The sequence below is a fragment of the Homo sapiens genome, chromosome 3, assembly GCF_000001405.40.
Source record: "Homo sapiens chromosome 3, GRCh38.p14 Primary Assembly".
Lineage (NCBI taxonomy): Eukaryota > Metazoa > Chordata > Mammalia > Primates > Hominidae > Homo > Homo sapiens.
This window is the reverse complement of record NC_000003.12, coordinates 70,922,979-70,936,536: the sequence shown is the minus strand read 5'-3', so window position 1 is coordinate 70,936,536 and position 13,558 is coordinate 70,922,979. Positions and strand designations below refer to the sequence as shown.

The following is a 13,558-nucleotide window of genomic DNA, read 5'->3' as shown; positions in this document are numbered from 1 at the left end:
TCAGAACTTAAAAAGGAAAATTACAGGATTAACAACAAACACAAAAATCTGATAAATTTCAACACCTATTAGTGAAAATATACATTGATAGAAATCTACTTATCATTTCTATCATCTCAGTCTATCTCGATTTATTCACCCATTTAATATCTATCTCAGCATATAAGTATTTTCAACTTGAAAGTATTAAATAGCTTGGTAACAAAAACCATAGAAAAGATCATATATAACGGAAAAATCTTCAATGTGTATAAGATCGGAAACAAGACACTGATGTTTTCTATCATCACTACTGTTCAAAATAATGCTAGAGATCCTATTCATTTCAAAAACAAATAAATTAATATGTATACAGACTGAAAGAGAAATGAGGCTGGACATGGTGGCTCACACTTGTAATCCTGGCACTTTGGGAGGCTGAGGTGGTCAGATCACGGGAGCCTAGGAATTTGAGACCAGCCCCGGCAACACAGGAAGACCTTGTCTCTACTAAAAATACAAAAATTAGCTAGGTGTGGTGGCACACAGCTGTGGTCCCAGCCACTCAGGAGGCTGAGGTGGGAGGACCACCTGAGCCCCAGAGATTCAGGCTGCAGTGAGCCGAGATCGCGCCACTGCACTCCAACCTGAACAATGGCAGTGAGACCATGTCTTAAAAAATAAGTGAGAGACAGACCCTGTCTTAAAAAGAGACACAGAGAGAGACAAATGAAATTTTCCTAGCAATAAATCTGTTTTAAAACATATAGTCTGTAGAAAGTTATAAAATGCTGTTGAAATTACTAAATAAATGGGAAGCCATATTATACAGACATTAATTCTCTTCAAATAGACCTTTATATTCAATGCCATTTAAACTCAACTCCTAATAAGGTTTTTTTGGTGTGTCGGAGGGTTGAGGTTAGGGGTCTGAGGACAGGGAGAGATTTTACAATCTAATTCTAAAATTTATGAGAACTAGAATAGAGTCATAACAACAGTTTAAAAGAGGAGCCAGACAGGGACCTTACTCTGCCAAATATCAACACTTATTATGAAGTTATAATCATGGTGATTGTGTGATATGTCATAGGGATACATCAACTATTGTACAAGAACAGTGACTCTAGAAGAAAACCCACATAGATGGAAACCTGACACAGCTGGCATGGTATGTAAGTGAAGAAAGGATGTACTATCCAAAAAATTGTACTGGGACAATTGGTTTTCAATATAAACAACATGAAGTTGGATTCCTATTTCACACTACACATAAATATCAATTCCAGATGATTTTAAGAACTTAAATGTCCTCAAAATGACCCAACAGAAATTTAGACAAAACATCCAATTGAAAAAAACATATACAAAAGACATCAACAGTCATTTCAAAGGAAATATAAATGCCCATAAAAAAATTAAAAGATGCTCAACCTCATTTGTTGTCAGAAAAATGCAAATTAAAATCTCAAAGAGATTACCATTTCACACTCAGTCGTTTGGCAAAAATCAACGAGCCAACAATACCAAGTGTTGCTGAAAATGGGAAACAAGGGGAGCTCTACTACCTGACAAGTGGGAGTTTTAAATGACACAACCACTTTAGAAGACAATATGGCACCAATTAGCGAAGTTGAATTAGCACATTGCTTGCAGTCTCAAAATTCTACTTCTAGGAATATACGCTAGAGAAATCTTGCAAATGTGCACCTAGAGTCACGTAAAAGTTATGTTTATAGCAGTATTGCTTGTAATGATAAAATGCTGGAAACAGCCCACAATAATAGAATAGAAAAATTAATTGTCATGTAAAAATTGGAAACCTATAAAGGACGTGACAGTGAACATACCATAAAAACTGGAATTCTCAGGAACATAAGGTTTAACAAAGAAAACAAGTAACTGCAGAATAAATGTGGTAGGATTCCATTTTCATCATCTCCTCAAACACCAAAATGAAACAATATTTTGTTTAGGAGTATGGCAAACCACTAAAGAAAAACAACAGGTTTTTTGTTTCCTCTAGGGAAACTATGTGAGGAATAGGATTTGGGTTGGGCATAGAAGGAGATTCCATGATTCTGGCAATATTCTATTTAGTTTACTTTGTGGCAAGTTTATAGCTGGTTTTTTTTTTGTTTTTGTTTTTTTTCAAGAGAGACGAGGTCTCTATTGCCCAGACTGGAGTGTGGTGGTACAATCGTGGCTCATTACAACTTGGAACTCTTGAGCTCAAGAGATTCTCCCACTTCAACCTCTTTAGTAGCTGGGATTAGAGGTGAGCACCGCCACACATGGCTAATTTTTAAATTCTTTTTGTAGAGATGGGGCCTCACTATGTTGCCTGGTCAGGTCTTGAACTTCTGGTCTCAAGTCATCCTCCTGCCTTGGCCTCCCAAAGCACTGGGATTACAGGCATAAGCCACCACACCAGGCCTGTAGGTGTTCATGTTATTGAAATAACTACTGCTATTACTATTACTAGTAGCAATAGTATTTCAACTAAATCATACTATATTGCTGGTGTAATAACTTCACCTGCCTGCTAGTTAAATGAGTTTCTGGTCCTTGCCACGAGTCCTGTCTTACAGCTTACCCTCCCAAAGATGCATCCATCTTATAGAAAGAGACAAGTATTTGAGCCTTTTGAGATTTCGAGAAGTCGGGAAATTACTGCAAAAGCTGACATGTGACCAACTAGAAGGTAGAAGAATCACAATAACCAAGCCTTTACCACTACTTAGCTTGGTGATATTGCAGCCATCTTTCCCACTGAGCTCAAAGTGGCCTCAAAATGCTTAGTATCAGACTCTAAGCACCCACTCACAATCCATCAGCGCTGACAGGTGACATACGGCCTCTTTGCAAGCTCAGTTCTTGAGTTTAATATCCTCAGCCACATCCGTGCCAACGGGTTCGAGGCTGCCAATCAGTCCATTCATAAAAGTCTGAAAAATCCACTTTTCAGGTCAGGTGATCCACAGTGTGAGGGATGCCTGTGGTTTTTGCCCGAGTCTCCTGACCTATCCTAACTTGAATTTATGTCATGGAAACAAAACTCTTCTTGTGCTAACTAAGTAACTGACTTCCATGTATAGTATTTGTTTTGGGCCCAAGGACACAGAGTTTAAAAAAAGAAAAATCAAATAAATCAGATCCCTGCATTTTTCTGGCTCAGGTGAATCAGAGAGGTCTTTTTCAGTTGCTGAAGTTCTTTACATGTGACATAAGCCTGATAATGAGCAGGAAGGGATATTTGTGTTTCCTGTGATTCACACTTCATAGGAAGTGGGTGGAGGATGTGAAGGACCATTTTCTTCCTCTCTTGTCATTATTGCAAGTCCATAAAATGGAGACATAAGCTTGCCCTGAAGTATTGAGCAGAGGCTGCTGTCTTTACTCTGCTCCTCACTAGCTTCTCCCCCATCGTGTAATTCCTCTATATGATGATTCAATCAGAGTTTGAGATCCATTGGCCTACAACCCTCTCCTATGCAGGGCTAATGTATCAAACTTTGCTGCACCCGTATGGCCTGTCTTTTGAGCAACCTAATCTCAACTGGTAGCTTCCAGTTTTTTTGCCCCTCTTTGGAGCCAACCATCTCCCAGCAGGTCCCATGTCTAACCTTATGGGAAGGAGTGAACAGGCCATTTGGATCTCAGGTTTACACCAAATGATAAAACCGGACGTTACCAGGAGTAAGGTTTGGATTCCTTCTTCTTATCGGACTTTGTCTTCTTCTTTTTTTTTTCTCTCTCCAGTTGGGTCTGAAGCCCAAAGGAGGAGGGTGTGACTATTTATATTCCTCAGACTACAGTACAAGGTGAGATGAAGGCTGCTCCTTGGCTCTAATGAGCAGATTAAAATAGAGAATTTGTGTCAATCAATAGGTGCTGCCATAGGAGATACATGGAAGAACCACAAAACCAACATGCAGGTCACACTGGGTACACAATACACTAAGGCTAACAATACTTAGTATTTATTGATCACTTACTATGTGCCACATATGCCTCTTAGTGCTTTGAATAGAATGTCCCATTTGATTAGTTCGTAACAATCCTATGGAATAGGTGTTATTATCCCCATTACACAGATAAAGAAATAAAGCATAAAGTTAAGCAGGCCCACTGCATACAGAGGCCAAGCTCATTGTTTCCCTTTTAAGCAGATTATTAGCTAAGACATGATATATCTAGAGGATATTGGAACATTTCATAAAGTTATAACACCCTTTCAGTCATTCAAGTGTTCATTCTGCGAGAACTAATCCAGGGCTTATTAGGTGCTGAGGACTTTTATAGGTATTGGAATGTGGTGAAAAGGAATGTGGAGAAATTAGTGTCTTCAAGAAGTTTATATTTTCCACAATTCTCCAATTATAGGAGCCAGGGATTTTTGGAGAAATAGCTGAGTTTAGAGCTGGGGCAGGAAAAAACAGAATGGGCCTATAGCACCTTGTGTTGCTAGAAATTAAGGAAATTCTCAAAATACAAATGTAGCTCTTCAAAAGGACAGAGGAGCCAACCTAAAGGTGTTCCTAATGGTCAAAGATGGAACAATTTGAGCCAAAATAAATAAATAACACAGTACTAGATTGTAACCCAAAGTGTAAACTTACTATTCATGAGTCCATAGTCATACAAATAAATTATAGAATATATAATAAATGTCCAAGGCTGGAGGATTCTTTGAGGCCAGGAGTTTGAGACCAGCCTGAGCAACATAGTGAAACCCTGTCTCTACAAAAAAAAAAAAAAAAAATTTAATGAGAAAATTAACCAGATATGGTGTGTACACCAGTCGTCTCAGCTTCTTGGGAGGCTGGGGAAGGAGGATCAGTTGAGCCCAGGAGTTTGAGGTTGCAATGAGCTATGATCACACCACTGTAATCCAGCCTGGGCCATGGAGTGAGATCCTGACTATTAAAAATACTTAATAAATAAATGGGAAAAAAGAGACAAATATTTCTTACGAGGAATTCTAAGAGTAATCACTATCCCGATTTCAAACAGCATAAGGCTAGTTTTGCCTAGTTTTTAACTTTATATAAACAGAAGCAAATGTATCCATATTTCAATGTATTTAAGTGGAACTACAACTTATTGGGTGCAAAAGATACTCAAGTAAAATATGAGACATTAAAATAGAAGTGCTCTGGTTTTTCACCATTGCTGGTAGATTTTATGTGATATTTTTCCTCAAAAATGCCCATAAAATTCTGATTTTAGAATCTAACACTCAACAAAACACTTCAAATCTTTCTTTTATTTATAAGTCTGATATTTGTGAAACTGCAAGCTGAAAAATGGACTAGTTGTTTATAATTTAGGAATTTTCAGATGCGTGCATAAAGACTCCACATGATTTGAGTACCCCAGTTGATCAGGTTTCCAAAGAAAACAGATGCCATCACAATGAGAAAAAATCAGTAATAACTACTCAGATCTGTCTCCACTCAATCATTTCTTTCTACTTAACACTAACTGCCACTTCTAAGTGTTTGTGGTCACTCTCATGAATACTTTTAAACATCCAATAAAACAATGTGAATTGATTAAAAAGTGAAATTTTCTATGTTGGAAAAGGAGCAAAATTTCATGAGACTGATGAAAGTGATATTGAAAAACTACTGCTTAGGGAGTATGGAGGAGAGTTTTATAAGAACTACTTTGGAACCATATGCAAAGCCATTGATAAAGAGGAGCCTGGTAAAATTAGGCCATTTAACAAAGAAAGAGGAGGAAATAATGAATCATGAAAATCACAGATGAGCATTTCAGAAAAGAAAGATGTAGATATCAAAGAATCATAAGGGGGTCTGGGATAATTTGATAAAACTCTGGAATATTTTTGTAAAATGTTTATGACTTTGATATAGACGTTATGGAATGAAGTATATTGTTCAGTGCAAATCACACTACCATGTTGTTTGGTGGCCAAAAAAGTTCACAGTTATGATTACAACCTAAATATAAAGAAAAAGCTAATATTAACAATTGTTAACTTTTTTTCCAAGATAAAGTCCCAATTTAACCACCTCCTTCTCCTATTTACTGTAACAGTTTGGCCCCTGGCTTATGTATGCTATACATTATACTCAAATTATGAGAAACTTTTCTTTAGCTATAATGATCCTGTTCTGGAAGCCTCACTGGGGAAATGAGGGTTTCTCTAGATATAAGAAAAATTCTGACTTAGCTAACAGGGGAGTTTATAGATTTAGGGGAAGTACTAAACTAACTGCAAAGCAAGAAAGAAATCTGGGGTGTGAACGGAGGGTGTTAGGCACGGGGCGGTGCAGGAGGAACGTTACCATTTCTAGGAGGAGAGAAGATTCTTGCTTTGGAAGAAGCTGTTACACCACCTCTGCTTTGGAGAGGCATCTAGCTTGGCTGAAGAAGGGAAATCCTATCTCAGAAAACACATCTCAAATCTTATAGTGGGAACCAGTGGCACAATGGGGTTCACTAGCAAGATTGCCTGTCCCTAGCAATGGGGTTCACTTTGCAAGATTGCATGTTGCACATGACCAATTCAGGAACAAATAATGTTGTATTTTTTAGCTTTGTTGAGGTATACTTGACAAATTTGTATGCATTCAAGGTGTATGACCTGTTTTGATATACGTATATATTGTAAAACTATTGCCACAATCAAGCTAATTAACATAGCCACCGCCTCACATAGTTACCTTTTTGTGGAAAGAACACTTAACATCTACTCTCCTAGTAAATTTTAAGTACACATTATTATTAACTGTCACAAGCATGCTGTACATTAAGTCCCCAGGACTTATAACTGCAAGTTTATACCCTTTGGTCAACATCTCCCTCTCTCCTCCACCTTGCATTTCTAAGACTTGTAGACTTTTCTTTTTCGTTTGGCAATTCAGCTGCCACTGTGATGTCAAATCCTGAAAAACAATCAAACACAAAGGGTCCCCTAACCCATCTCAAAATATATCTGAGGAATCCCACTGACTCTTGCCACAGATATTTATGTCAACATTTCTGGAACTCTGTTCATTGAAATACTTGTCCATCCAGACATTACATGAGAAAAGTATTCTCTGGTCAAATAAGGCTGAGAAAATGTCAGCCTCACTTACCTGTTCCAGCCTCACAATGTATAGCTCCGTGTCAAAATCCCACAGTAAGTGAAAAAACCGATGCTATGTTGTTTTACTAACACATCCTACACTTGTTTATTACACAACCTGTTTTTTTTTTTAAGAGACACAGTCTTTCTTTATCACCCTGGCTGGAGTGCAGTGGCACAATCATAGCTCACTGCCATCTCAAATGCCTAGGTTCAAGCAATCCTCCCACATCAGTCTTCCAAGTAGCTGGGACTATACGCACGTGCCACCATGTCTGGCTAAAAAAAATTTTTTTTTCGTAGAGAAGATCTTGCCCTCTTGCCCAGGCTGGTGTTGAACTTCTGGGCTCAAGTGGTCTTCCTGCCTTGGCCTCTCAATATGCTGGGATTACAGGTGTGAGCCATCATACCCCATTTATACAACCTTTCTACGCAGGGTAACAATTAACATCCTATTAGATGGGTATCCTGGTACCACACTTTGGGAAATGGGGCTGAAATTCCTAGTGGGTCCCCCTTGTGATGATGAGCTTTAGGCATCAACCTGACTGGGCTAAGTGATGCCCAGACAGCTGGTAAAACATTACTTCTGGGTGTGTCTGTTAGGGTGTTTCTGGAAGAGATTAGCATTTGAATCAGTAGTCTCAGGAAAGAAGGTAAGCTCTCACTGTTGTGGGAGGGATTCATCCAATCCGTAGATATCTGTGTGTATGAAAAATAGATATATAGCATATATTATATATTCATATATCAGAGGTATGATATATAATCATATATCAGAGGTATGATATATAATCATATATCAGAGGTATGATATATAATCATATATCCGATGTATGATGCATTCATATATCCGATATATGGATATAATCATATATCCGATATATGATTATATCCATATATCGGATATATGATTATATCCATATATCGGATATATGATTATATCCATATATCGGATATATGATTATATTCATATATCGGATATATATTAGATATGAATTTATATATTCATATATATCTATGATTATAATGAATTATATATGAATATATAATATAATATATATTCTCATATATTACATAATATACATGTATAATAGAATATTCTATACATGTATATATATTAGAATATTATATATGTGTGTGTATATATTATATATATGATATATGGATACACTTCAATTTATAACACAGTTAGGTCCTGTTAAACCCATCACAAGTTGAAAATATCATCAGTCAAAAATGCATTTAATATTAAACACAAAGAGTCTCTTAACCCATCTCAAAATATATCTGAACCTACTGAGCATCACCTTCATAGCTGAGCCTAACCTCCCTTAAACATGCTCAGATCACTCATACTAACCTGAAGTTGGGCAAAATCATCTAACACAAAATCCAATTTATAATAAGCTGTTGAGTATCTCATGTAATTTATTGAATACCATGCTGAAAGTCAAAACCAGAATGATCATACAGATACTCGAATCAGAGTTTCTACTGAATGTATGTTGTTTTTGCACCATGTAAGTCAAAAAATTGTGAGCCAAACCATCCTAAGTTGGGGATCGTCTGTGCATCTCTCATATTTGTTCTGGTTCTCTGGAGAACTCTAATATAGTGGGCAGCTCTGGGAACTCTCAGTCAGACACTCTGGGCTTGTACTGCTGCCCTAAAGGAGGAATCAGTGACATTCTAGGTGATGTTGTGTGCTGCCTTAGGCCTCTACTGTGCCGGTGGTAATGGCAGAAATGAATAGTCACAAGACAAGTTCTTTGTAGATAGCTATTCCCTCCTTAGAATAAAGAAGGCCTTTGGTTGAGTGGAATGTCAGTGAACCTTTAATTTCTTCTAGCCTGTTGGCTCTGGGCATCCTTCTGCTCCACAAACTACTGTATTTGAATTTTCTGCTTCCTTCCCTCTGTCATGGCGGGCGTCAAAGCAGCTCTGCCATCCTGCCGCTGAAAGCCTGTCGGAATCCAATGCATATTCATGAGGTGGTTGTTCCCTATTGCCCATCCAGGTAGGGAGTCACTCTCACTTTCCTAAGAGAAGTGATGATTACCCCCTCTTAGCAAGGAGGTTGGAGAATGGAGGTGGAGGCAGTGCTGGTCTCTGTGCCTCTGTGGGGAACAAAATCCTCCCAGATAGAGCAGGGGTTGGAGTAGGAGGAGAAGGGGAAAGGAGGTGTAGCAGGGACCCAACCAGAGGAGGGGAGAGGCAGTTAAGCCCTCGAAAAGGAAAATAGCCCAATTTTTTTCTTAGTCATCAAGGTCACAGACACTCGGAAAATTAAAGCAACCAAGAAAATCTAAAGTAAAAATCACCCAAGAAAAGTCACTGTAAAAACGTGGTGAATAATATTCTAGGTAAGTCATTCATCATGTCATACTCTTACACACATAATTTATATATAATACGTTGGCTGACACCTAACATGGCAGTGAGCTGTCACACGGGCTAGGGATGACAATGGCAGGCATTCCTCCCGCAAGACTTTGTTTCCTCCCTAAACTTGAACAACGGCTGAGACCCTTCACAGGCACAACCAGTAGATTGGACTTGTCATCCTAACTAAATATTACTGATAATTAGTAAATTTTTACTTGCATATGTAACATAGATTCATTTATTCTTTCATTTATGTATATGTGCAAAAAATTTGAACAAGTTTTAAACATTATTTTAGAGACAGCGTGTTGCTCCGTCACCCAGGCAGGAGCGCAATGGCATGATGGTAGCTCACTGCAGCCTTGAACTCCTGGGCTCAGGCGATCCTCCTGCCTATGTCTCCTGAGTAGCTGGGACTACAGGTGTGAGGCCTGGCCTTAACTGGAACAAATTTGAAGAAGTACTCATTATGTACCAGGCATTAGGCTGGAGGATGGGAATATAATTATTAACCTAAAGGTCTGTGGTTGTGGTTCCTAATTCCATGGTACTTATAGGTCTAATTGGGAAAGATACAGGCATTATCCAAATAATCACACTATAATTAATCAACAAATGTGAGGAGTGCTACAGAAGAGAGGTACAAGAAACTGTGGGTGCTCATGAAAGAAAGTTTAACCTTGTCCTGGAAAGCAGGGAAGTCTTTGTCCTACATATGTATATTAAAAATCTACCGGCCAAGTGTGGTGGCTCATGCCTGTAATCCCAGGAGTTTGGGAGGCCAAGATGGGTGAATCATTTGAGGTTAGGAATTTGAGACCAGCCTGGCCAACACGGCAAAACCCTGTCTCTCTAGTAATACAAAAATTAGCAGGGCATGGTAGCACATGCCTGTAATCCCAGCTACTAGGGAGGCTGTGGCAGCAGAATTGCTTGAACCCATGAGGCGGAGGTTGCAGTTAGCCGAAATTGCACCACAGTACTACAGCCTGGGACACAGAGCTAGACTCCGTCTCAAAAAAAAAAAAAAAAAAAAAAAAAAGAAATCTACCTTATCTTAAGGCTATATCTTATATTATTCTGTGGATAGGTCATAGTCATTTCATTGACTTCCCTACTGTTTCACATTTTTTCAGTGTCATAAACAATTTGACAATAAAATCTTTAGACTCTTCTAGTTAACTGGATATACCAGGTCATTTCCTGGATCCAAACTTTTGCCCATGGTTTTTTCTACCATCCCTCTCTGCATCTGGACACCCATTCTTGCCTTCACATCAAGATCCAAAATAACCGTCACTCTGTCTACTGTGACTGGCCTGTAGAGCGCTCCTCCTTGAGACACCTGATTGCTTTTTGCTGAATGGCTTCTCTGGGTACTTAATCATATGTGCCATTGGTTTATACCTTCCATGTTTGTCTTGTCTCGGTTAGCCTAGATCTCGTGGACGGTGGGAACAGTGCCTCAAAAAATATGTCATTTGTGTTTCCCTTCCAGATACATGAAGATGACAACCATAGTTAATCTGTGGAAGTTACCATGATGATGAAGAGTGGTGTCTTTATTCCGTAGGTCTTCCCTATGAGATGGTTCTATGATCATTTTACAGACCACAATATAGTGCCTCCGAGAGGTTAAGCACCTATCCCAAGGATAAAGGACTAGTTGTGCCAAGAGCCCTAGAACCTGGGTTCAAATTCCACCTCCAACACTTACAAGCCATTGTTGTTTGTTCCTTAAATTCTCTAGGCCTCAGTTTCTACATCTTTAAAATAAGGTTGTTGGCTATGCTGTGGTTCATGCCTGTAATCCCAGCACTTTGGGAGGCTGAGGCAGGTGGATCACTTGAGGTCAGAAGTTCAAGACCAGCCGGGCCAACATGGTGAAACCCCGACTCTATCAAAAATACAAAAATTAGCTGGGTGTGGTGGTGCACACCTGTAGTCCCAGCCACTCGGGAGGCTGAGGTGGGAAAATTGCTTAAACCCAGGAAGCAGAGGTTGCAGTGAGCTGAGATCATGCCACTGCACTCCAATCTGGGTGACAGAGAAAGACTATGTCAAAATACATAAAATAAATAAAATAAAGTTGTTAATGTTTCCCCGTGCCTACAGTTGTTGTGAGAATTAAATAAGAGAGCACATGCAAAGTGGAGCCAAATCATAAACTCGTCGAAATGACTGGAATCAAGCCCTGTGTGCCTGGCAACAAAAGAGAGAAAGAATTTCATAGTATGGGCTTTCCTGCTTACTACTGCAGACTAGGAGGGTCGGCCCCAGAGCAAGCAGGAAGTGGGAGAAAAAGCACTGTTGCCTCAGTCAGACTCTGTTCCCAGGTGCCACTGTCTCATGCTTCAGCCTGCTGCCAAAATAAGTGTGATTCTGATGTTAAAAGGTTCACATTTTCCAAACACCAGGTTCCTAAAACATTGAAAGACTTCATCATGCACTCTAGCAAAAAAGTGGTGATCTGTTCCAAGATAGTGAGAAAAACTGGCCACCTTGGGCATACTTGGGAGAAAATGGCAGGCCCTATTGGGAGGTACCTTCTGAAGGATGTGCAAGGCTGATGTTGGCCTGAGTCACCTTCTGCCTATATGAGCCATCTTTTGTACCAAATGTTCACGAGATGTCATTCCATCCAAGGTTAAATGGCAGTGCTGGGATGCTAACCAGGCAATGTGCTGAGATCCAATCAAATCTGCATGGATTCTTGGGAAGAAGCTCAAGGTGGATGTGAGGGAAGGGAAGAGGGACATCAGCACTAGCAGGGTCCGCCTTTTGCCAAAGACTTGTTTCTATTGAAGACACACTTACTACTCAGAATAAAATCCCACTTTTACATCCCGTACCCCATGGCCATGGAAAATGTGTTCTCAACATTCCCTGCAGCTTTTCCCTCTGATGCCCATTATATTTAGACCTAGGCCTCAACACAGCTCCATCTTTCCCACTTCTCAGCATTTGCTATTTTCCTTACTTCTAGAATACTGTTTCTTTCTGCCCTACCAAAGCTCAATCCTACCCATGCTGTGGAACCCAACTGAGACTGTGCTTCTTGTGCCAATGTTCCTCCACTTGCAGGAATCTCACCCTGTTGAGAGTACTGACCATATTCCAACCTAGGCTAGCATCACTGGCTTTTCCCATCACTTGTTTGACCTTAATCCCTTCACTGGCTGGGTAGCCTCGACTGCATTATAGGACTTCTTGGTACCAGTTTTCTGAATTGAAGGAAATGAAGATTAAAATCTCCAGAACTGATGGGAGAATTCCATGAGACAATTCACCTACCAGAGTTGGTCCAGTGCTAAGTATGTGATAAACTCTCAAAATTATCAGCCTTCTCCAAGCACAAGGACCACATATTAATGGTTTGTTCAGTTATTTGTGTTTTTTTGCCTTGTTGAAAAATGTTGTAAGTGGGAAGCTACATCATGTCCCTTCTCTATTCTTGGCCTTCCTGCTTCTAGGTGGATATTAAAAGCTCCCAGAGTGTTTGGTGGTTGAGTGATTGGTTTTAACCATGTGTATTAGTCCATTCTCATACTGTTAATAAAGACATACACAAGACTGGGTAATTTATAAAGAAAAAGAGGTTTAATGGACTCAGAGTTCCACATGGCTGGGGAGGCCTCACAATCATGGTGGAAGGTGAAGGAGGAGCAAAGGTACATCTTACATGGCAACAGGCAAGAGTGTGTGTGCAGAGGAACTCCCCTTTATAAAACCATCAGATCTCATGAGACTTATTCACTATCACAAGAACAGCACGGGAAAGACTTGCCCCATGATTCAATTACCTCCCACCAGGTCCCTCCCACAACATGTGGGGATTATGGGAGTTACAATTCAAGGTTAGATTTGGGTGGGACACATTCAAACCGTATCAACATGGTAATTTTTTTTAATTGCACATTTCTGTGGCTGGAAATCTAGAGGTTAGGCATTCAGTGGTGAGGACTAGACTAGTAGAGCAGGCTGATCTCTGGCTAGTTTTGAGGATTAAAAGTATATTTTAAAAATTTGCAACTTTTGTTGAAGTACTCCCTTTTCTTTGAGATAGATGATTGACATTTGTAGTCTGAG

At 39.5% G+C, this 13,558-nt stretch overlaps 1 annotated feature.

The window, feature by feature from the left end:
* Positions 8,799 to 9,334: an enhancer, noted in NCBI's record as "OCT4 hESC enhancer chr3:70976354-70976889 (GRCh37/hg19 assembly coordinates)". NCBI's record gives its function as "activates a minimal SCP1, AML or CMV promoter by ChIP-STARR-seq in primed H9 embryonic stem cells {active_cell/tissue: H9 hESC(primed)}" and the evidence as "EXISTENCE:reporter gene assay evidence [ECO:0000049][PMID:30033119]".